Source organism: Homo sapiens, chromosome 10, assembly GCF_000001405.40.
Source record: "Homo sapiens chromosome 10, GRCh38.p14 Primary Assembly".
In the NCBI taxonomy this organism is placed as follows: domain Eukaryota; kingdom Metazoa; phylum Chordata; class Mammalia; order Primates; family Hominidae; genus Homo; species Homo sapiens.
This window is the reverse complement of record NC_000010.11, coordinates 3023685-3048849: the sequence shown is the minus strand read 5'-3', so window position 1 is coordinate 3048849 and position 25165 is coordinate 3023685. Positions and strand designations below refer to the sequence as shown.

Here is a 25165-nt window from a genome sequence, read left to right as displayed (position 1 = left end):
TGACAGCCTGAAACGGCCTGGCCCTCCCTCTCCTGCCTGGGGCCTCCAGCCCAGTCTCAGGGCTGGGCAAGGAATAAGCCCCATTTAGGGCATTTCCTCACTTGACCTTCTTCTGGGCTGAAACGCATTTGCTTTCCAAGTGCTCGTCAGGGAGCCGCACATAGAAGCTCTTGTTTTCTCCCCACTGCTGACTGGTTCTGGGTTCGGGGGTTTTCTCTCCACTGCTGACTGGTTCTGGGTTCGGGGGTTTTCTCTCCACTGCTGACTGGTTCTGGGTTCGGGGGTTTTCTCTCCACTGCTGACTGATTCTGGGTTCGGGGGTTTTCTCCCCACTGGTGACTGATTCTGGGTTGGGGGGCGCCCCCCGTTCCCCGGGCTTCTTGGCCACTGCATCTTTGGCTTTCGCTCCAAGATTTTGACCTCAGTTAAGGATTCAGAAACTTTCTTTTTACACTTTATTCTCAGATTGTTTTTTTAAAAGTCAGGCCAAAAAAAAAAAAAAGACACAGAAAGTGGAGTGAGTCAAGAGTGAGTGTAAAGTTCCGAGGATGAAGCTGAACACGCACGAGCCTCTGTCAGGGTGGTGTCTATGCTCAGGAGCCATGTTCATCCCAGAGCTTCCCAGGACTGAGACCCTAAAAAAAAAAGGAAAAAAAAAAAAAGGAGCATAACAGAAGTAAATGCTAGGATTCTCCATAAGGTCCTTTTTTTTTTTTGGTGAATGGGTTTTTCCCTTAATTTCTAGGCATTTGGCATCATGGAAATAGAACAGCAGCATCTTCTACCTGCAGGGCTGAGATTTTTCGGGTGGACAGAATAAACCAGGGACCCGTATACAGATCAGAGGGTGGGTTGGCAGAAGAGGATGGGCACAGAGGATGTGGGATGATACCAAGCGGCGTTTCTACCATGATGTGTGTGGGATGCGGGGAGGGGAGAGAGAAGCAGGCAGGGAGACAGAGAGAGAGGGGGAGAGTGGGAGACGGAGAGAGAGAGAGAGAGGTAGAGGGAGATAGAAAGGGAGAAAGGGAGGGAGGGAGAGACAGAGAGAGAGGGAGAGAGAGAGAAAGGGATGGATAGAGGGAGGGAGGAAAGGACAGAGAGAGGGAGAAAGAGAGAGAGAGAGAGAGAGGACCAATTCACCACTTTTGTCCAAAGAACCAGGCCAACTGTCTGGAGCCCGAGCGTACCTTCTCTAAAGGGTTTTGGAGCATATGATTCCCTTATTCCTGCAGCTCTTCTAGAATATGACCATCTTCTGACTGTTATTCTATTTTTTTTTAAAAATACACTCCTATGATTATAGCTTGTTTTTCTATCTTGTAAGCTATATCCTGGCAACATTCCAGGAATGACTCTAATTTTATTAACAGTGGGTCCTCAAGTTTCTTCCTACAAAATAGACTTCTGGAACCCTTCCCTGGAGATGGGTAATTTCAGATCATGTTTATGAATTCCTGAGATTCTCATTCAGAGTTAATGATTTCCCCCCGACTTCTGCTCGTGGCTTCATGAGGATTTGTCTTAATTCTCTGTGGGTTGAGGGAGCCATCTTCTCTGGAACCTGCAGCCTTGTTTACAGGGGCTGGTGTGTGTGTGTGTGAGTGTGAGTGTGTGCACGTGCATACATTCACATACACACACACACTCACTTAGGAGGTTAAGGAAACCTCATTAGTATTCCTGTCTTTCAAACCACAGCAGGAAGGCGAAGCCCTGGGCAACACGCTGGCCTCCCGGTTCAGTGACTCCAGGTTCCCAGCCCCGGAGACAGGCCCCGCCTCATGGACTTACCCCTAGCATCTCTCTGCCTCAAAGGATGCTGGCCAGCTCTGTGGTGGGAGCAGCCTGAAAGTCCCTGGGATCTGGGAACTTTTATCGTTCTGAGGAACAAGAAAAACAGAGACACCTGGAAAAGCTTTGCAGGAGGAGTGGCCACAGGTCACCTGGTAGCATGTACATGTCTGCAGGGCCCAGCTGAGTTCTGGGGGATGGAAGGTGGCTCCAGGAAATGGTGACCTGAGGAACAGGTAGGGGCTGAGAACGTGGGGCCTCCTCTGGGAAGACCATCGAGGAAGCAGGACATGAGTGGGGAGGGGCAGTGTTGTGTGAGGGAGCTGGGCAGCACCGGGCAGTGTCCAAGAAGGGTGTGGGGGAGATGGATGGGTGGGGGCAGCCAGAGCAGAGAACAGGTGTAGACAGCAGGTGAGAGAGCAGGTGGGGGGAGCAGGTGTAGACAACAGGTGAGAGAGCAGGTGGGGGGAGCAGGTGTAGACAGCAGGTGAGAGAGCAGGTGGGAGGAGCGGGTGGAAGAGGAAGGTGAGAGAGCAGGTGGGGGGAATGAGTGTAGACAGCAGGTGAGAGGGCAGGTTGGGGGAGCAGGTGGAGGAACAGGCTGACAGCTGGGCAGGTGCCTCTTCAGCAGGTCTCTGTGAGTTTCTACTGTGGACTTTGCAGTGAGGTCAGTGGGAACCACGGAGGGTGTGAGAGAGAGTGTGTGTCCTAATGCTGGGAAGCTGGGGTTTCTCCACTGAGGCACGCATTGCTGGGAAGGCCAGGCCAGATCTCCCTGCCCCTGGGAGCCCCCGGGAGGCCAGGACAGATGGGCTATCTCTGTGTAGAACTAGAGCTTAGGGCCTGATGTCAGTGCAAGGCTGTGCCTCCACCTCCAGACCTTGAGGTCCACTTCACTCCTCTCAGGGAGCAGAGAGGTCAGGTGCTGCCTGGGTGGAGGCCTGGGACTTTTCACCACAGGACAAGCCCGCAGGGGCTGATGGCTGGCAGGAGAGGCCGGCCCTGCCTCCCGCTCCAGGGCTGCCCTCCCCCGCCCCGGGTCAGCTGCTTAGTCATCCCCACACTGGACTTCCTTGTATGGCCAGAAGAGGAGCTGGAGGGTGGTGCAGGGCTGACTGACCCCCGGGACCCCTCCAGCGTCTGGGGCTCAGCTGGGCAGATTCCAATTCTTGGTGGAGAAAGGAGAGCACTTAAAATAGCCTCAGGCAGCTTGCTTCCTAGAGAGGAGAGCCGGGTGGGCTGGGGACCAAGTGTCCAGGAATGACAAGTACCCCTGAGTTAGTCAGTGAGCTGTATGAGCCTCTTGGTAGGCAGTGACCAGCATTCTTTTTGTTTAATGCAATGAAATAGAACAAAAAATACCTGAATGCACCACATTGAGTAAGAGTAACAACCTCTTTGTGAAACTGATTTCAGCCCGCGTGTGGGTCAAATTAGATTCATTTCTTGGCGTGATTCATGGTTTTAAAAAAATAGTTTGAGTGAATCATATTTAAAAGAAGGTATTAAAATATTTTGAAAGTTTCTTACTGATTGGGGAAATGATCCATCTGTTTTCTCTCTGTCTCTCTAGCTCTTTCTCCCCGTCCCTCCCTCCCACCTTTCTTTGTTGTGAGGAGGACGCCTCCTTGTTACTTCGTTACTTCTTTAGACTGGGACCAGATCCCAAATGGTCCATTTGTAAGACAAACAGCAGCGTGGACGTGGCACTGTGCTCGTAAGGGAAGTGCCAGATTCATCCACGAGGCATTTTGAATAGACTTTACCCCACCACGATGCCAGCCTTTTTGAGGATGGCGGCTGTGTTTCTTTGCACAATGTTCAGTAGGGACCCCATCACCCCTATAGCCTGCCTCAAACATGGGACATCTTCAATCAGTGTTAGCTGAACTATGTGTCCTTTCCATGTTTATTGTATTGGAACAAATGGGGCTCTAGACACCTTTCTTTTGCTGCATTCCCTAGCTAGCTAGACAAATTTGGAATTTAGAAAATATATACCTATAGAGGCCAGGGGCAGTGGCTCACACTTGTTATCCCAGCCGTTTGGGAGGCCAAGGTGGGCAGATCACCTGAGGTCAGGAGTTTGAGACCAGCCTGGCCAACATGGCGAAACCCCATCTCTACTAAAAATACAAAAATTACCCAGGCATGATGGCGGGTGCCTATAATCCCAGCTACTTTGGAGGCTGAGGGAGAAGAATTGCTTGAACTTGGGAGTCGGAGGTTGCAGTGAGCTGAGATCACACCATTGCACTGTAGCCTGGGTGATACAGTGAGACTCCATCTCAAAAAAAAAAAAAAAAAAAATATATATATATATATATATATATATATATATATATATAGAAAAAATTCTTTAAAAAAAATGTTTTGAGACAGAATCTCACTCTGTTGCCCAGGCTGGAGTGCAGTGGCATAATTATAGCTCACTGCATCCTTGATCTCCTGGGTTCATGAGATCCTCCTTCCTCAGCCTCCTGAGTAGCTGGGACTGCAGGTGTGCGCCACCATACCTAGCTAATTGTTTTTTATTTTTAGTAGAGACGAGGTCTCACTATGTTGCCCAGGCTGGTCTTGAACTTCTGAGCTCAAATGATCCTCCTGCCTCAGCCTCCCAAAGTGCTGGGATCACAGACATGAGCCACCATGCCTGGGTTGAAAAGCAATTTCAAATAAATGAGTTTTATATACCTGTTACCAAGACTCTAATATTGAGAAAAACAGAAATCCTGGCCTAGTTGACTTTGGACTTCTTTAGTTTTTGGAGCGTCTGGTAAGCTCCCTGCTATGAGAATGAGGAGTGCCCGGAGTCCCCACCCCACTCAGCTTCTGTGGAAGCCTCAGCTGCCCTCATGCTCACGGGGTCCTGTGTCTCACTCCAATCCAAAAGGCTGGGACTGTGCATGCATGGGACACAATGCTAGGAGGCTTGGGGTTCAGCTCAAGATACTAACTTCAACCCTTGGGAATTCGTGTCTGTCTCTCTTCCTCACCTTCTAAGCCCTGCCTGCTGCTCAGAGCCTGGCCTGCAATCTGCACTGGGCATTCTGAATGGGGCATGAGAGAGGCAGGAATGAAGCCTCCCCAAGAAATGCTGAATCACACACTTCATTTAAACAGGACTTGTTGGGTGATTCTTATGCGTAGTAAAATTTGAGAAAGACTTTAATCGCTTCTGTATTATCGATTACTAAGTAACCTAAGCTTTTTTAAAAGACCCTCATCTTTACATAACTGTACTCGCTGACAGCCTGTGACGCCTTTCTCCCCTTCTTTCTCTTCTTTCTCGTGCTCTATGCGCCTGCTCGTCACCACAAGATGGCCCCAGAGCCCCATGAAACCTGTAAAGGAGTCTAGAGCCCTAAGTTGCTTCTCTCAAAGGTCCTGCTGATTTCCTGATTAAAAGATTAAAAGAGCCGGGCACAGTGGCTCATGCCTGTACTCCCAGCTGTTTGCAAGGCCGAGGCAGGCAGATCACCTGAGGTCAGGAGTTCGAGACCAGCTTGGACAACATGGTGAAACCCCGTCTCTACTAAAAATACAAAAATTAGCTGGGCGTGGTGATGTGTGCCTGTAATCCCAGCTATTCCGGAGGCTGAGGCAGGAGAATTGCTTGAACCCAGGAGGCAGAGGTTGCAGTGAGGCGAGGTTGTGCCATCACACTCCAGCGTGGGAACAAGAGCGAGACTTTGTCACACACACACGTACACGAAGAGTAAAAGTGAATCATTCCCAAAAAGAATAGATTTGGATATTTTCTCAGAAATTTTCTCTTCCAAACCTGTAGCTGTTTACAGGTCCCCATTACATAAGGTGGCTTTTGATCACTTTCAATGCAATGTACTTTCTGATATGTGATATGGATTTAAAATAACTCACAACCAACTTATTATAAGAATGCACTCTCCTTTAGGACATGGACATTTGAGGAACCACCTCTGAGCTCAGTATTTTAGCCTGAATCTACCTTCAAATCTAAAAAGATTATCGTATATTTTTGAGCCCAAAATAGGACGAAAAGTGTTGGATTTCTTGCCAGTGTTTTAGTCTTCTTTTCGTCCTGGCTTAGAGCTTTACTGTGGCATAACTGGTGCACAGTAAACTGCACATCTTTAAAACCTACACGGTGAGGAGTTCTGACTTATCTCCACACCAGCGAGACTTAGACCACAGTCAGAAAAACGAGGCTCCTATCACCCCAGAGTTCTCCGTCACTCGCTCTCCGCGAGCCCCTTGCCAGGAAGAGCTGCTTCCTGGCATTATAGATGTGTCTGCATCTTCTTGAATTGTGCAACATGGAATCATACAGTGCCTGCTGTTCTGCTGCCAGCTGTTCTTGCTCAGTGTGATGTGTTCGAGATTCAGCAACACAGGACGCATCAGCAGCTGCTGCCCTTTCATTGCCGAGCCCTCCTCCATTGCACCAATACATCCTGATTGGTCTAGCCATTGACTTGCTGGTGGATATCTAGGTCGTTTCTAGGTGTTAGTTGTCACAAATAAAGCTACAATAAATATTAGTGTGCACGTATGTTTATTGCGGCATTATTCACAATAGCAAAGATTTGGAACCAACCCAAATGTCCAACAATGATAGACTGGTTTAAGAAAATGTGGCACATATACACCATGGAATACTATGCAGCCATAAAAAATGATGAGTTCACGTCCTTTGCAGGGACATGGATGAAGTTGGAAATCATCATTCTCAGTAAACTATCGCAAGAACAAAAAACCAAACACCACATATTCTCACTCATAGGTGGGAATTGAACAATGAGAACACATGGACACAGGAAGGGGAATATCACACTCTGGGGACTATTGTGGGGTGGGGGGAGGGGGGAGGGATAGCATTAGGAGATATACCTAATGTAAATGACGAGTTAGTGGGTGCAGTGCACCAGCATGGCACATGTATACATATGTAACTGACCTGCACATTGTGCACATGTACCCTAAAACTTAAAGTATAATAATAAATTAAAAAATATATTAGTGTGCAAATATTTGTGTAGAAATAGACTATCATTTTTCTTTTTTTCTTTTTTTCTTTTTTTTTTGAGACAGGATGTTGCTCTGTTGCTCAGGCTAGAATGCAGTGGTGCAATTATGGCTCACTGCAGCCTTGACCTCCTGGGCTCAAGCAGACCTCCCAGGCTCAAGTAGTCCTCCTACCTCCACCTCCCTAGTAACTGGGACTACAGACACATGCCACCTTGCCTGGCTAATTGTTTTTTCATTTTTTTTTTTCATAGAGACAGGATCTCCCTCTGTTGCCCAGGCTGGTCTCGAACTCCTGGGCTCAAGCAGACCTCTTGGTTTGGTCTCCCAAAGCACTGGGATTACAGGCATGCACCACTATGCCCAGGTGCTGTCATTTCTTTTACAGAAATACCTAGGAGGGAAATGATGGGGTTATATGGAAGGTATATTTTTAATTTTTAAAGAAATGGTCAAACTGTTTTCCAAACTCATTGTACCATTTTTCATTTCCACCAGCAGTATCTGAGAGTTCCAGGTGTTTTACATTCTCACCAACAATTGGTAGGGTCACCTCTTGAGATGTGTGCGTGTGTAGTGGTATCTCACACTGGCTTTCAATTGTGTCTCCCTAATTACTCTGATATTCAGCACCTTTCCATGTGCTTATTGCCATCTGTGTGTCATCTTTAGAGAAGTGTCTGTCCAAATCATTGGCCCATTTTTTACTTGGAATATTTGTTTTCTTATGATTGAAAGTAAGACTAGTTTGTAAACTGTAGACAACATTCCTTTGTCAGATGCATGTTTTGCAAATAATTTCTCGCAGTCTTTAGATTGAAGATTTAAAGCACTTTTGAAATTTGATGAAATTTAATTTAACATAAAAAATTTATGATGGTGTTTTGGGCATCATATTTAAGAAGTTTTTGCCTAACCCAATTCCATAGTTAATTTTTGTATATAGTGTGAGGTAAGGGTTAGTTTCTATCTTCCTTCCTTCCTTCCTCCCTCCCTCCCTTTCTTCCTTCCTCCCTTTCTTCTTTCTTTTCTTTTCTTTTCTTTTTTCCCTTCCTTCCTTCCTTTTTTTTTTTTTTGACGGAGTCTCGCTTTGTTGCCCAGGCTGGATTGTGCAGTGGCACGATCTTTGCTCACTGCAACCTCCGCCTCCCGGGTTCATGCCATTCTCCTGCCTCAGCCTCCGGAGTAGGTGGGACTACAGGAGCCCGCCACCGCACCCGGCTAATTTTTTGTATTTTTAGTAGAGACAGGGTTTCACCATGTTAGCCAGGATGGTCTCGATCTCCTGACCTCGTGATCCACCCGCCTCGGCCTCCCAAAGTGCTGGGATTACAGGCATGAGCCACCACGCCCAGCTTGCTTCCTTTCTTTCTTTCTTTCTTTCTTTCTTTCTTTCTTTCTTTCTTTCTTTCTTTCTTTCTTTCTTTCTTTCTTTCTTCCTTCCTTCCTTCCTTCCTTTCTTTCTTCCTTCCTTCCTTTCTTTTCTTTCTTTCTTTTCTTTCTTTCTTTCTTTCTTTCTTTCTTTCTTTCTTTCTTTTTCTTTCTTTCTTTCTTTTCTTTCTTTCTTTCTTTTTCTTTCTTTCTATATGCAATGCACATGCTGCCATGTTCTAGAACCATTTGTTGAAATGACTATCCTTATTCTATCAAATGCCTTTGCATCTGTGTTAAAAATTGACTGTTTTAAGTGTGAGTCTATTTTTGTACTGTCTACCATTGATCAATGTGTCCATCCTTTCTCCAATACCACATCCCCTTGGTTATTTTAGTGTTTGTAATATGTCTTGACATAAGTTCTCCTATCTTCTTCCTCTTTCTTTTTGACTGGATCATGTTCTTTTTAAACCTATGATAATAATAGCTTTCTAAGGAAATTTGGCTGCAGTTTCAATTTATTTTGCATTACTTTCCTTTTCTTTTTTCCTTTTTTTTTTTTTTTTTTTGAGACGAAGCTTCACTCTTGTTGCCCAGGCTGGAGTGCAATGACATGATCTTAGCCCACCACAACCTCCGCCTCCTGAGTTCAAGCGATTCTCCTGCCTCAGCCTCCCGAGTAGCTGGTAGTACAGGCATGTGCCACCACTCCTGGCTAATTTTGTATTTTTAGTAGAGACAGGGTTTCTCCATGTTGGTCAGGCTGGTCTCGAACTCCTGACTTCGGGTGATCCACCAGCTTCAGCCTCCCAAAGTGCTGGGATTACAGGTGTGAGCCACTGCGTCCAGCCCTACTTGGCATTACTTTTCATTTGTCTTTCTTCATTTATGGGTTATGCCAGTAAAACAGCTTTCAATTGAATCTTAAATTCTATCTACTTTGACACACCACTATTTTATGTATCAGTCAGAAAGAAAGAAGTCTCTGATTGTAAGTTGCATCCTGAGATGGAGATGTTAAAATGTTAAACATGTATTTTATATTAATATAAAATGGCCAATGTTAGAAAATTATCACGAAAAGGAAAAATTCATCCAGATTTCACGGTCCTCAGAGAACTGGATAATTTCTTTGACTTCATGAATGAGCAGAATTTCTTTTAGCTACTTTGAATTTGTTTCTGCCTCTCTATAAAGTCTAGTACATATATCTTTACATTTAGGCAGCTGTATTAGTCCATTTTCACACTGCTAATAAAGACACACCTTTATCAGGCTGGGTAACATAAAGAAGAAGAGGTTTAATGGACTCACAGTTCCATGTGGCTGGGGAGGCCTCTCAATCATGGTGGAAGGCTAAAGGCACATCTTACATGGTGGCAGACAAGAGAAAATGAGAGCCTAACGAAAGGGGAAACCCCTTATCAAACCATCAGATCTCATGAGACATATTCACTACCACGAGAATATTATGGGGGAAACCTCCCCGCCGTGATTCCATCATCTCCCACCAGTTCCTCACATAACACATGGAAATTATGAGAGCTACAATTCATGAGATTTGGGTGGGGACACAGCCAAACCATATCAGCAGCAAAATACATGGATGATTTCTGGTGCCGTCTTTCACATTTTATTTATGTTTGTTTTTTTGGTTTTTAGAAGCATTTCGATTTCCTTCCACAGTAACCAATTTGTTGAGTTTGCTATGTGTAAAATGACTTGCACAGAGGCACACACATTGTAACTGCTCTTCTCCTTAGGGGTTCATGTCTTGTAGCTCCACTGGCTTTGACTTTGGGCTGTTCCATTAACCTTTACTGTGACCCCTTTTTTGCTAGGTTATTCTGCTTATCCCCTGAGAAATGTATCAGGTTTATAGTTAAGAAGACATGGGTAATTTTGTGAGGATTATAGGATTATGTTTTTGTCATATGAACAGAGCTGAAGTGTGTGGAGGCACACTCTGGGTGCAAGGCATGGTCTGCAGGATTTATGTGTGTGATCTCATTTAAGCCTCATAAGGGTCTTAAAAGGTTGGAGTTCCGGGCCCACGTGCTGAGGATCAGGGAGGTAAGTGCCTTTCAAGTGGTCATATGGTGGTGCTGGAGGGGACAGGATGGAAGCCTGCATGCTCTCTGGTTCCAAGGCCAGGTTCCTCATGCCCCCTCCATCCCCCAGGAAGGTTCATCGTGGACTCTGGACACAAATTATGAATCTAAGTTGGCAATTCTAGAAGAGTCATTCTGCAGCATCTCAATTCTGATAAATGAAGCTTTTATAATAAACCACAATTTCAGGCTTATCTCTATTTAAACAGAAGGTATTTGGCTGCCAATCTTTTATTCATGATCTAACTTTACTTCTTTTTTTTTTTTTTTTGAGATGGAGTTTCACTCTGTCACCCAGGCTGGAGTGCAGTGGCACGATCTTGGCTCACTGCAACCTCTGCCTCCCAGGTTCAGGCGATTCTCCTGCCTTAGCCTCCTGAGTAGCTAGGATTACAGGTGTGCGCCACCATGCGTGGCTAATTTTTTAATTTTTTAATTTTTTTTTTTTTTAGTAGAGATGAGGTTTCACCATGTTGGTCAGGCTGGTCTCAAACTCCTGACCTCGTGATCTGCCCACCTTGGCCTCCCAAAGTGCCGGGAATACAGGCATGAGCCACAGTGCCCGGCCCCTTCTCTTATTCTTATGGAATGGCTAAGAAAAGTATATATTTTTAATTTTTCAATATTTGGTACTTGTGGCTACTGTTATCAGCCTCAGTTCTGAAGCCAGGTGGATATTCCAGAGCCGGAAATATCCTAGCCTGTCACATCATTAGGGACACTTCCACTCTCCTGAACTGCTGTTTTCCCACATTTTCCTCCTCCTGTGTTTCCCTAGCCATGAGCTAGTGTATTGTTCACGCATATTTACCATTCCCTGAAGTCCATTTTCTCCTCCTTTCTTGAAGACTTGTTATCTAATGCTCCGAAGGGATATGACCACCATAGATGCCAGCTCATGTGCTCATCCTTCTTGTATTAAATGCACCTTCTTATTGTGATGCTTTGACATCTTGGGGTCTGTGGACTCTGGAGGAACACCCCTCCCAGGGTTACTCATTCCTGGAGACCAAACAACTCACCTTTCGGATGCAAACCAACCAATCCAGAGGCAATACCCCCAACCATCTCTTTCACTGGGCTCTTATGCTCCAAGGCTGCCATCCACCTGCCCTGCACCCCAATGCCAGGTGCCAGACAAGCAGGGATAGCTACCGTGTCCGGAGCCTCTGAACTGATTCAAATCAGCCAACCCCAAGCCTGTCACTCTGCCTCTCCATTCCTTCCCAGGGAAACCACAAGGGAGGCTCTGGCCCATGTTTCTCCCCAACCCCTTCTGCCTCCTGACCTACCGTGGTGCCTCCCCAGGTACCCTCCTGCCAGGCTTGGTGTACACCCTCCTCTTAGACACTGAAAGTAACAAACTACCTTTTAAATGATGGTTGTCTCCTGACATATTGGCTTCACCATGCCTAAATAAGAATAAAAACGTTCATTATAAGACACTTCTCCAACAAGTATTCCTTTCTTTAGTAGGGAAATATGTGCAAACCAAACTAGAAGTATATATGTCACACATTCTGTATGCTGTGGAAACATGGGTACCCTACGAACTATCAAATTCAAACAGAAACATTTAAGGCTAGAGACTGTGTGCCTCTGTATCTTATGCATCGAAATATTTGCTTTGGGAACAAAATGGGTCCTTCTTGCTTAAGGGTTTATAAGATAACATATTCATACAAAATATTCTCCTTTAGCAGGAAGTACCTTACACAGCCATGGCTTCATTATAATGAATGCACAGTATGAGTAATTTGTAAATGCAGAACAATGTTTTTCTTCAGAATCTTACATTTCAAATTTGCTGAAAAATCTCTCTCTGAAGTGGACCATTTCCCTGCACAGATGGTGTTGCACTATGAAGACACAAGTAGCTATCCATCATGGTGTAGGTTGAAACTCTCTTTTGTGATGCTAAGGCAATCATGTCACATAAAATCCTCCACTGAATGCTTCCCATTATACATCTGGTCAGCCAATATGTAAAGGTAATCATGGAGTCTTAGACGTCTTCTCATAATGTTTAACCCGTGTGACATTGAGCTTGAAATGATTAAATGTTCCTGGTAGTACTGGTGTGTGTGTGTATGAGTGTATATGTGTGTGTGAAAGAAAGAGACAGAGAGAGGAGTCTAATGTTATCACAGAAGGCACATCATGGTGCTACTAAAACGAAGGATTCATTTTCAGTTCCTCTTCTCACTAGAAAGTGATTTCCTGGTAAAAGTGAGCCTAAAACACCACCCTCATTGCCATGGTAGAGAGATGAAAACAAACCGCCTACGGGGAACACAGGACAAGTATGCCCGGGTTAGAGAAGCATAATTCCAAAACTACTCAGGGCTGGCAGGGGAGTTACACAGCTCAGCATTCATCCCTGGATATGCAGACCATACCTTGAATAAGTTTATAAGCAACAATTAAATGTTGAAATAAATATCTTGAAAGGAGAAGCAGATATTTCAGGGTGGACGAGGTCTGAGAATTGAGTGGGGTTTAGACAAAAATGTCATCAGCAGAGAGCATTCCTGGCTGATCCAAAGAGAAAGTTCTCACTGATCTTTTTCTGAGAGAAACAGAGTGAATGGGATCAGAATCTACTTAATATCTTTATAGCTCATATTCTATTGACTACTAGGAAACAATTGTTCCAGTATAGTTGTTGTTTTCATGAAGCTTGACTTAAATGAATTGCTTTGAAAATACTGGGTTGACATTATCTAGCAGTGAAGGATGTGGTGTCAAGGAATATAAAACATCAGGTTAAAAACTACCTTAAGAAATTGGTCTTTAAGATTCCTGACTAAGGGTGTTGTGGTACATGAGGTGATATGGTTTGGCTCTGTGTCCCCACCCAAATCTCACCTGGAATTGCAATAATCCCCATGTGTCATGGGAGGGACCTGGTGGGAGGTAATTGAAAAATGGGGGAGGGTTCTTTCCCGTGCTGTTCTCGTGACAGTAAGTCTCACGAGATCTGATGGTTTTATAAAGGGGACGTCCCCCCCACATGCTCTCTTGCCTGCCGCCACATAAGACATGACTTTGCTCCTCATTCAGCTTCCGCCATGATTCTGAGGCCTCCCCAGCGACGTGAAACTGTAAGTCCATTTAACCTCTTTGCTTTATACATTACCCAGTCTTGGGTCTGTCTTTGTTAGCAGTGTGAGAGCAGACGAATACATAAGGATGCTGCTTTATTTTTCACAACCATCGTTACTCAGTCCTAAGTGTTTCTCTTCATCGAATGAAGACAACGTTTGCTTTGGAGAGGGAATGAATTAATGAAGACTCCGAGCTCTTGGAATGAGCTCCGTGAGATGATGCTGAATCCTGATGAATATCTTTTGGTGCTGGGAGTTCTCTCTGGATATGAGGTCCCTATGTTTATAGATAAATTAGGCCCATAAATACTGAGGTGGAAGGAAAGGAAAAGTCCCCCTACAGATGTGTAAATGAATGACTTGACTCAAACTTTTTTTTAAAATTTTTTTTTAAGAAAAGACGCTCCAAGACATAGGAGCAATCAATGTTACTGTTAAAGGAGGGGGCAGGCTTCAATGTTATCGTGAAGGACACTGGAATGTTGCTGTTTATTAATTTTGGGTTGTTTTACTTTTGTAGAAGGGGAAGTTGAGATAGTTGGCATGCAAAGCACATGTTGTCAGCTTTAGCTATTTTAATCGCAGTGAGAAATGGAATTAACTGCTGAACCAAAACCACTGGAGAATAATTAGGGTCACTATTTTTCCTGAATCATGGATTTCCTAATCTTCAGAAGACTCGGGCATTTTGACTCATTTGACTACTTCAGTTTCCTCAAATTTTCTTATTAAAACTATTTAAAATAATATAGCAATAAAGAGGAACTTCCAACAATACCTCTTCACTGTATCTCAGCGTCTACTTTGTTGAACAAGAATACCATGAATGTCTGACCTTTACATCGTTGAAACTTTTTTCTAAAAATCAGTCATGCTTGATCCAGAAGATAATTTATATCCTTAAAGTCTCCTTTCACAAGAGTTCTGTGGGTGCACTGAGGAACACAAGGCTTTATCTATTATAGAAGGTAAAAGAATGTCCACGAACAACCTTTTGTTCTCCCAAGTTGGTCACCTTTACTAATTACATCCAGCAAGTCCTGGGCAGATCCTAATATGACCTAACTTAGAATCCTATTGGTCAGTCTGGGGATCTTCTCCTAAAGAAGTTTGGTACTGGCAAATACTAGGTCTCAGTAACATGATCCCAATGTGAGCATTGTCTCTTGTACTGACATTTCTATTTTACTGATTTTTTTTTTGTAAGTGTTGTGCTGTGTGCCAGGCACCACGCCAAGCCCTTTAGCATTTCTAATTTACGTAATCATCCTAATAACCTCATGAGGAAAGTGCCATAGTGTTCCCACTCACTGGACAAGGACACTGAGAGAGACGCCATCTGCCTATTTGTCCATGGCACCAGGGCTGTGCCTCCCTGGGCTCGTGGGCCATGGGCTGCAGCACAGCCTCTGCTGTTATTCTTAAGGACCTCTTGATATGCAGTCAGTTTTCTATTTCTTTCTTTTTTTTTTTTTGGTTTGTTTGTTTTTGAGACGGAGTCTCACTCTGTCACCCAGGCTGGAGTGTAGTGACATGATCATGGCTCACTGCAACCTCCACCTCCTGGGTTCAAGCGATTCTCCTGTCTCAGCCTCCCGGGTAGCTGGAACTACAGGCACACACCACCACACCTGGCTAATTTTTGCATTTTTAATAGAGACGGGGTTTCAGCATGTTGGCCAGGCTGGTCTCGAACTCCTGACCTCAAGTGATGCGCCTGCCTCGGCCTCCCAGAGTGCCAGGATTACAGGTGTGAGCCACCTGCCTGATCTGGTTTTATATTTCTAAATGTAATAGAACGTAATTTCTGGATAAAGAGTTTGGGCTGTTGAGCCAGATTTGGGTTTGAATTGAGCTCAGCTGCTTATTAGCTGGGCGAAGTTCAGAAACATGGTCACTTTCCTTTGAGTCTTTGTCTTATCTGTGACATAAAAATAAGTCAACCTGTAGGGATAATGACATAATTAGAAAAAAATACACCAAACACTACAGATGGCACCTGACTCTTAGTAGCACTTGGTAGGACCTATTTAATAATGATCGATTAAATATTAATAATAAGGCAAACAGGGATAGAAAAAATGTGGCTACAAACAAGAGACCTGGAAATCACCACCCCATCCACAAACAATTGGGTCAATAATTGAATGCTGTTTTGTTTTCCAATCCTACCAGCTTCAATAAATATAGACTGCCGTATCTCTATGCATCAGACATGTCCATCCTTTGGTTGAGCGAGACACAGGGTGAGTGAGTCTTACTGCATTTACTTTTCCCCCCTGTAACATGTAATCGGTCTCTTGTTTTCTCGAATTGATCAGTTTCAGAATGGCTTCCAAGATATTCATGGAATAACAAACTATTTATTGGTGGCAGAAATATCGTATCCTCAGCCTTCAATGGGCTCAAAGGAAAAAACACCTGCTCCTTAAGTCTCCATGGGCTCAGCTCTTGATCACCGGCTTCTTGAACAACAGTCCCATCTGTGTGGCGGTCCTGATGTTGTATTTTATATTTTATTAAAATACACAGGTGATACGCACTCGCAGGTGCATACATGTCCTATCCTGGTCTGTGATTTTTCTGTCCAAGATGGTGGCTGTTGTACCCTTGATTTTCTGAAGTCACCAGCACACAGCCTCAGTGCCAGTGGTCATCAGCCGTGTTATCAGCTTTCAGGTATGAATTGCCATCACTTTATTGTTTTCTTACTTGGCATGCTTTTTTTTTCAATAGTTTTTGGGGTAGAAGTAGTTTTGTTTACACATTTTTTAGTGGAGATTCCTGAGATTTTAGTGCACCTGTCACCCAAGCAGTATACACTGTACCCAAGGTGTAGTCTTTTATCCCTCAGACCCCAACCTTCCCCCCCGCCGAGTCCCCAAAGTCCATCATATCATTCGTATGTCTTTGCATCCTCATAGCTTAGCTCCCACTTATAAGGGAGAGCATACGATATTTGGTTTTCCATTCCTGAGTTACTTCACTTAGAATAATGGCTTCCAGCTCCATCTGAGTTGCTGCAAAAGACATTATTTTATTCCATTTAATGGCTGATAACATTCCACAATGTATATATACCACATTTTCTGCATCCACTCATTGGTCGACGGGCACTTAGGTTGGTTCTGTATCTTTGCTATTGTGAATTGTGCTGCCATAAACATGCATGTGCAAGAGTCTTTTTCATAGAATGACTTCTTTTCCTTTGGGTAGATACCGAGCAGTAGGATTGCTGGATAGAATGGTAGTTCTACTTTTAGTTCTTTAAGAAATCTCCATACTGTTTTCCATAGTAGTTGTATTAATTTACATTCCCACCAGCATGTAAAGGTGTTCCTTCTTCACCATATCCATGAAGACATCCATTGTTTTTTGACATTTTAATCATGGCCATTCTTGCGGGAGTAACATGGTATCTCATTGTGGTTTTGATTTTCATTTTCCTGATGATTAGGGATGTTGAGCATTTTTAATGTGTTTATTGGCTGTATATCTTCTTTTGAGAAATGTCTATTCACGTCTTTTGCCCACTTTTTGATGGAATTATTTGTTTTTTTCTTATTTGTTTGAGTACCTTGTAGATTCTGGATACTAGTCCTTCGTTGGATGCTTAGTTTGTGAATATTTTGTGGGTTTATTCTGCTGATGGTGTCTTTTGCTGTGCAGAAGCTTTTTAGTTTAATTAAGTTTCATTTGTTTACTTGTGTTTTTGTTATATTTGCTTTTGGGGTCTTAGTCATGAATTCTTAGCCTAAGCCAATGTCCAGAAGAGTTTTATGATGTTATCGTCTAGTATTTTTGTGGTTTCAGATCTTAGATTTAAGTCTTTGATAAACGTTGAGCTGATTTTTGTAGAATTGGAGAGATGGGGACCCAGTTTCATTCTTCCACGTGTTTGCTGTCACTTCTGATATGCATACAGCAATTTGAATTGACACTGTACATTAACCAGTAAGGTAAGTGTTTCTGTTTCTATTTATTCTAAAGCTTCACATTGATGGTTAAGAAGGGAAGCAATAGGTCACATTTTAAGCTAAGAAGCCTTTTTTTCATATTTTAAAATAATTAAATAGCATGATCACTGTTGAAAACAATCACTTAGGTTTTAATTTATTTAAAATACTGATAAGAATGTGCAATACCTCTTCACTGTTCTGTATTTGGACATAAAAGCAAAGCCTAGTAAACTTGACATGTTTGTCCTAATGGGAAACATGACATTCTTTTAGGATCAACTATAACAATCTATAATTTAAATATTGTTAATGTAATATAATGGGCATGTACAGCCAACTAAAATCTGGCGGCAAGAAGGAAATCTCTCTCTCTCTCTCTCTCTCTCTCTCTCTGTGCTCCTTTATTTCAATTGTTTTTAATATTTAAAAACCAGCTTGAAGGAGAGATTCTCAAACAGTTTAGATTCTGGAAACAAAACTCAGGATAAACATGACATTCCTAAGATAACTAGTTTGTCTTGAATGAACAACTCCCAAACTATTTCTGAGGCCTTCGCTTAACGTGATAACAGCAGTGGATCCCACCCTGACTAATGCAGGCACCCCTCACTCTGCATCATGCAGGGGATTGAACTAAAAGCAGTCAGTGTTTGTTTTTTTAAATGAATTAAACCTTGGCCTATCATTTCTCGAAACTGCCGGGTTATATGGATAATGTGTTGATAATTTGCTCTACAATCAAAAGTAAATATTTTTTTCTAGAAGAAACAGAGCAGAAATATGATTGCATGTTTCAAATCTAAGATTAAAGCAGCTTGAGAGTTTTAAGAATGGTATTTAATTATTTGTGGCATTCTGTTGACATTTAAAAAAATAAATTTAAAGCAGTTGATGTTGGGGGCAGCTAAATGCAGACTGTGACAATTATTTTCAGGTTACATGGCCTTTTTGATATTGTATTTCTAACGGACATTGACAGACATCTTTGCCTGCACATGTTTTAGAGGTGAATAAATATTTAGTTCAATCTGATCACTGCCAGTTTTCTGATTTTGAGCCTCTTAAAATGAGGATTTATTTATACTAAATCCAATATTGTCCTTGGGAAGCAATATTTTACAAGCAAATAGATTAATGAACAGACTATGAGTTAGTACCTAGCTGAGTATGATCAAGCCAGTTTGAAGACATTAGTCTCCAAACTCTGGCAATCCCATTTGGTTTACCATTTAAATTAATACATTGTACCAATGGTGGGACTGAGGGTCTATCTCAACGGGGGCGTGCACAGGAGAATAAGGAGATGGCATGGATTGATGTTTCTGTTTTTTCTTTTTTTCCAAAACATACTTTCAAGATGAGCTCTGATTTTGCTCTGACAGCCTGGGGATGAGGAGCAAGTTGACAAAATGCTGCAACTTCTGAGGAGGAAAAATAAATCTTACCTAGGAAAGCCTTAGCTTCCCTTAAATAAGGCGGAAGAATTGAGAGTGATCCACAACACTGGTTGTGGTATGGTGGTCATTGCATGGCATTAATTATCATAGGTAGATGAGTTATTTTATTTGTTGAGTTTATTTGTGTAGTCTAGTTTAAATGAGCGAAAATGCTCAATGTGTCATTTTACTCTGAGCTATACCAGTTCTTTCTTTAACTGGACCTTTGAGGATTACATCTGCTCTCCTATTAAGTTGGTGCAAAAGTAATTGCAGTTTTGCAGTTATTTTTACACCAACCTAATATCTACTCTCCAATCCCAAGTGCCACCGCAGGGGTGTGCTGTGTATATCCTCACTGGGATGAGTGAGACCCCGGAGCAGCATCTTACAAGGAACCCTTTTAGGACGCTCACATGAAATCCTCCCCTTTTTCCTTCTCCCTCTATTATCTGCGGCCCCGGTCACCATCTGTTACACTACACATTTATTTCCTGATTGTCTCCTCTCACCTCTACAGCCTGCACTGTCCAGTAGGGCTGGGATGGTTGTTTTGTTTTGTATTTTTTCCACTGGTTTTTAATGAATACCCTGGACAGTGCCTGACACCTGGCACGAATTCTATATGTATTTTTGGAATGAAGTTCATGAATTACTCAGCATAAAAAGCAGGAGTGGAGACACTGGTTCCCTGCAGAGGACTTGCAGAATAGTGAGTTTCTTGACTATTTTTGAATTTCACAGACCAGTAACATTTTCAACATTTTGGAGAATGACAGAGGCTCATAAATTTCAATTTGGCTAATAAGGATTTTAAAGCAAACAAACAAAGCTATTATCTGATATTACCATAATTTCATAAAAGAGTTTTAAAATTGGTGCCAGGAAATGCCCGTATTTCTGGAATTGGGTGGTGTGCTTGTGTGTGTGTGAGGTGCATGCATGGTGTATCTGCTTAAGCAAAGGCAACGTCTTACTTTTGAACACTATAATTCCATTATTCTGGATGTTGCTCTGAGGGTGTTTGTAGATGAGATTTACCTATAAATCCCTGCACTTTGAGTAAAGCAGATCTCCCTTCCTAATGTGGGCAGGCCTTATCCAAGCAGTTGAGGGCCAGAAGAGAACAAAGGCTGGCCTCCCCTGAACTGCCAGTATTCTGTGGCAGATGGCACTTGGATTTGAACCTCAGTCTCCTCTGGGTCTGTGGCTTGCCACCCACGCCACAGGTTTTGGACCTGCTAAGCATCCAGGATCTCCTGATACAATTCCTTAATATCTCTCTCTCCATCCTTCCCTCTCTGTAGGCATCTTGTTCGCCTGTTTCTCTGCAGAAGACTGACTAGTGCATTGGCCTGGGCAGTACTTAGCGGGTCGGGAGTGGGCGGGAATGGTGTGCGTTTTGAGTGTGGTGGTGTGGGTGTGATACAGTTGAAGCGGAGGGGAACTTACGATCCAGCTGCCCGGGATTCAAGTGTCCACCTCCTGTTTATTAGCTGGGTGAGCGTGGGCGGCTCACATAACCAGCCTGGAGGCAGGCTGTGTAAAATGGCACAGACCTGCCACATCAGTGGGAAAAGATGACTGAATAGAAACACCATTGTTAGGGTGACTGGGGAAAGGCCTGCCTGATTTTGTTCTTGAGAAATCAGGACAGATGACTGAAGTCATGATATCATTCTTATGTCATGACTATGTCACAAATGTGAGCATTTATGGTCCGAAACACTGCTTTCACAAATTTAACCTTATATACAAGGGCTTCATAGACTGAACGCTAAATTACATCATTTGAACTTGCCTGAACTCACATAACTCTCACTGGATAAAGGTAAGTTTCATAATTCATATCTAAGATATTTTTGATAGCTTTTAAAATAAAAATCTTTTATGACTGAGTGTGTTTGTCTGTTCTTGCATTGGTACAAGGAAATACCTAAGATTGAGTGATTCATAAAGAAAAGAAGTTTAATTGGCTCAGGGCTCTGCAGGCTGTACAGGTAGGATGGCACCAGCATCTGCTTAGTGTCTGCGGAGGCTCAGGGAGCTTTCAGTAATGGCAGAAGGTGAAGTGGGAGTCGGCTTCTCACCTGGCCAGAGCGGGAACAGGAGAGGAAGAGTAGGGGAGGTGCCACACTCTTAAACAACCAGATCTCACATGAACTCAGACTGAGAACTCACTTATTACTGTGAGGAGGGCACCAAGCCATTCATGAGGGATCTGTCCCCATGACCCAGACACCTCCTCCCTAGTTTCATCTCCAACATTAGGAATTGCATTTCAACATGAGAATTGGAGGGGACAAACAGCCAACCCATATCAGTGAGTGCTTGAAATGTTACAATATATTCTTTTTTCTTTTCCTGTTTTTTTTTTTTGGCAGGATCTTGTTCTGTTACCCAGGCTGGAGTGTAGTGGTGTGAATCTGGTTCACTGCAGCCTTGACCTCCTAGGCTTAAGCAATTCCCCCAACAAGTAGCTAAAACTACAGCCATGCATCACCATGCCCAGCTAATTTTTTATTTTTTTGTAGAGATGGGATCTTGCTATGTTGTCCAGGCTGGTCTCAAGCTCCCGGCCTCAAGCAATTCTCCCTTCTTGGCCTCCTAAAGTCCTGGGATTATAAGCATGAGCCACCACACCGAGCCTTAGATTATTGATATATGTTAAGAAATTAGTATTATTGACATAAAAAACCAAGCAACCTGATTAAAAATGAGCAAAGGATCTGAGTGGACATTTCTCCAAGGAAGATATACAAATGGCCAACAAGCACATGCTCAATAAGCACATGCTCAATAAGAAAACGCAAATCAAAATCACAGTAAGATACCACATTGCACCCGTCAGGAAGTCTACTATAAAAGCAAACAGAAACACACTCTAGGAAATACCAAGTGTTGGAGCCCTTGTACGTTGCCAGTGAGGATGTAAAATGGTGCGGCCACTATGGAAAACACTATGGTGGCCTTTCAAGAAATTAAACGTAGTCCAACCACATGGTCCAGCAGTTTTTCTAGGCATACACTCAAAAAAGGGTAAAATCAGGGCCTCAAACAGGCATCTGTATATCCATGTTCATATCAGCATTATTCACAGTAGCTAAAATGTAGAAACAACCCAAGTGTCTGTTGAAGGATGAATGGTTCCATGCAACATATACACACGACGGAATGTTACTCAGCATTGAAAAGAAGAAAACTCTGGGCCAGGCGCAGTGGCTCACGCCTGTAATCCCAGCACTTTGGAAGGCCGAGGTGGGTGGATCGTGAGGTCAGGAGATCGAGACCATCCTGGCTAACACGGTGAAACCCCGTCTCTACTAAAAATACAAAAAAATTAGCCGGGCGTGGTGGCGGGCGACTGTAGTCTCAGCTACTCGGGAGGCTGAGGCAGGAGAATGGCGTGAACCTGGGAGGCGGAGCTTGCAGTGAGCCGAGATTGCGCCACTGCGCTCCAGCCTGGGGGACAGAGCGAGACTCCGTCTCAAAAAAACAAAAAAGAAAAAAAAGAAGGAAACTCTGACTCATGCCATGCTGTGGATGAACCCTGGGGGCGGTGTGGTAGATAAAATAAACCACACACAAAAACGCACTGTGTGAGTCCACTTATATGAGGTACCAGAGTAGCCAAAATCATAGAGACAGAAAGCAGAATGGTGGCTTCCGGGGGCCAGTGGGAGGAGGAATGGGGAGGGAGTTAGTCTTTAATGGGTAGAAATTTTTGCAAGATGAAAAGAGTTATGGAGATAGATGGTAGTGGCTACACAGCAGAGTGAATGCACCTGTTGCCATAGAAACAAACACTTCAATATGGTTAACATGGGAAATTTTATGTTATGTATATGTTACCACTATAAAAAATAAATTAGCGTTGTTTCTTTCCATCTTAGCTTTCTTGTCCTGGTTTGGTAAATTTTTTTTTTTTCCTAGGTTACGTCAACTTTATAATTTTGGTTCCTGAAAGCAAGTATCATTTTTACGTAAATTCACTGCACAATACTATTTCCTAATTTGGTAGATAATCATCTCTGCTAATAGTACAAATATTTATTTGGGACATTTTTCTGGAAGTTTCAAAATCACAGATTGAAGTTGGGTTCATAGCCACTGAAAGATAATTGGCCTGGTCAAAGTTTGAGGAAGGAGAAGTTTCGCATGTTAGCACTCTATGGAATTAGGGTTTGAACAGGGAATTTTAGGCTCTGCACGAACCCCAAATGTCCCTAAATGGTGAGATACATGAGGGTTCTCTGATTTAATCTCATACGCCAAGTGATGGCCTCTGGTACTTCAAAATTAATATTTGGCAAATAAATAATTGACTGTCCTTACAAAGTCACTTCTAGGTGGATTAATCATGAAGACATATTCAATTTATTCTTCAAAAGATTGGCTGAACTCAGGTGAAGCCGGGTTCTGTGCTACAAATTGGTGTTACAAAGGCAATTAACGCACACTTGGACTCTAACTTAGTTTGACACATGGTGTAGACAGACTCAGGACAGAAACTCTTCCTCTTTTTCAGAGAGGAGCAGCAAAGATTCAGACAGCATCTCTCGCAGAAGGCACAGGCACAGAAGGGCTAGAATCGTTCTGCAACTTGCTTCCCTTTGGTCTCCTTTCTGGTGGCTTTAGCTAAAAGAGCTTTGTGTCCTTAGCTGTAAATCAGCTCCAGGAAGCTCTGAGTCTTGTTTAAGAACAGCATTGTGAACCGTTGTTCTCTGAGAGTTATATGTAATTTAAAGTAAATTTACACGGAAGCTTAAATGTCACTGTTTGAATTAAGAGATAGGCATTTAAAAGAAAGTCAAATTGAAATCATGGCTCAACAAATGGTTGAAATACAGTCACTGACAAGCCATTGTGTCCATTACTGTGAACTCCAATCCAAGCAGACAATGGAAAATTACCTCTTTTTGAAAACTTACATAAGGACACCTTTATCTCTAATGAGTTCATGAATTTCTTTGACATTCTAACCTGCTGGCACCCTTCTTCTAGCCTCAGAAGGGTTGCTCTGTCAATGAGAATCCTCAACTGGGAGAAGAAAAAGTGCAGCTTCTCTGTCTTAAGAAGAAATAGCAGGCCAGGTGCAGTGGCTCATGCTTGTAATCCCGGCACTTTGGGAGGTTGAGGCGGGTGGATCACGAGGTCAGGAGATCGAGACCATCCTGGCTAACGCGGTGAAACCCCGTCTTTACTAAAAATACAAAAAATTAGCCGGGAGTGGTGGCAGGCGCCTGTAGTCCCAGCTACTCGGGAGGCTGAGGCAGGAGAATGGTGTGAACCCGGGAGGCGGAGCTTGCAGTGAGCCAAGATCACGCCACTGGACTCAAGCCTGGGCAACAGAGCGAGACTCCGTCTCAAAAAAAAAAAAAAAAGAAGAAGAAGAAATAGTAAATAAATGACATAAGTAAATGATGTCCAGTCTACTGGGTTTCAGGAGCTCTGTTGTCAAAAGCTTAGTTCCTGCCTCATGGAAATGATGAAGGTAGAACTTTCTCTTCTGTAGTCCTTTCGACTGTGGGTAATGAGATGTTTAGCATTTAGTGTGTTCCAGATGTGGATGATGCTGCACAAAGGTGAAGAGTTCTGGGTCTGCTTTGATTGGATCAGGGGCACCTGCAGCAGGTGTTGTTGGCTGCATGTCTACAAGCCATCTCCCCGCAACTCCTTTCTTTCTATTGGTACCATTGTTATGCGCCAATATGGGGAGGGAGACAATGCATTTAAAGATAATGAGTCTCCAGTCCCAGGGAGTGAGCTATGACTAGTCAATGACATTGCTACTAATTTTGTTCCCCTTTGCCACTTTTTGTCTTTGAAAAGGGCAAATGACCTGATTCTGGCCAGTGGTCCCTGAGGGAAGTCTAGCAAGAAAGGCTTTCTCCATGAAACAGAAGAAAATTTGGGAACTCTTGGCCTCTTTTCCTGCCTTGGAGATATTGCTTGAGGGTGTGATGTCTGGAGCTATGACTGTTACTTTGTGACCATGAGGCAAAAGCCAAGAGCATCTAAGAACATTGATAGCATTCAGCTGCTGTTTCAGCTGCTCGCCTCGGCTCTGAGCATTTTGTTATATGAAACAGTTATGTGCCTTTAGTGTTTAAACCACATTAAGTCAGGCATTTTGTTACTTACAACACAACAAAAGTAAATGTTACCTACTTGGCATAGTACCTAAATGATTACCATTTAATAAATAAACAAATCTCAGGTTTAATTTGACCAGGAAAACCAAGAGCATAAGATTTGGAATAAGTAAAGAATAGCCTCAATACTGTTAGTGTGTTTACAGCACCCACACAGCTCTTTCTAAAGAGCAACGTGCCGTCAATTATCCAGATATGTTGTGTATAAGATGAAGAATAGGT

At 43.2% G+C, this 25165-nt stretch overlaps 1 long non-coding RNA gene across 1 annotated transcript, besides 4 other annotated features; it reads left to right on the top strand.

Annotated features, from left to right (window-relative positions):
* Positions 599-3418: an enhancer, noted in NCBI's record as "VISTA enhancer hs1958". NCBI's record gives its function as "enhancer in: heart[4/4]" and the evidence as "EXISTENCE:transgenic organism evidence [ECO:0001131][PMID:17130149]".
* Positions 708-1271: an enhancer, noted in NCBI's record as "H3K27ac-H3K4me1 hESC enhancer chr10:3089771-3090334 (GRCh37/hg19 assembly coordinates)". NCBI's record gives its function as "activates a minimal SCP1, AML or CMV promoter by ChIP-STARR-seq in naive H9 embryonic stem cells {active_cell/tissue: H9 hESC(naive)}" and the evidence as "EXISTENCE:reporter gene assay evidence [ECO:0000049][PMID:30033119]".
* Positions 1272-1837: an enhancer, noted in NCBI's record as "H3K27ac-H3K4me1 hESC enhancer chr10:3089205-3089770 (GRCh37/hg19 assembly coordinates)". NCBI's record gives its function as "activates a minimal SCP1, AML or CMV promoter by ChIP-STARR-seq in naive H9 embryonic stem cells {active_cell/tissue: H9 hESC(naive)}" and the evidence as "EXISTENCE:reporter gene assay evidence [ECO:0000049][PMID:30033119]".
* LOC124902532 (uncharacterized) lies at positions 1739-6314 on the top strand. The gene is made up of 2 exons (XR_007062356.1): positions 1739-2030; positions 5116-6314. It is a non-coding gene; the product is annotated as an uncharacterized LOC124902532 (long non-coding RNA).
* Positions 2819-3113: a silencer, noted in NCBI's record as "tiled region #955; HepG2 Repressive non-DNase unmatched - State 12:CtcfO". NCBI's record gives its function as "represses a minimal TATA promoter and a strong SV40 promoter by Sharpr-MPRA in HepG2 cells {active_cell/tissue: HepG2}" and the evidence as "EXISTENCE:reporter gene assay evidence [ECO:0000049][PMID:27701403]".
* Positions 6315-25165: the final 18851 nt, after the last annotated feature.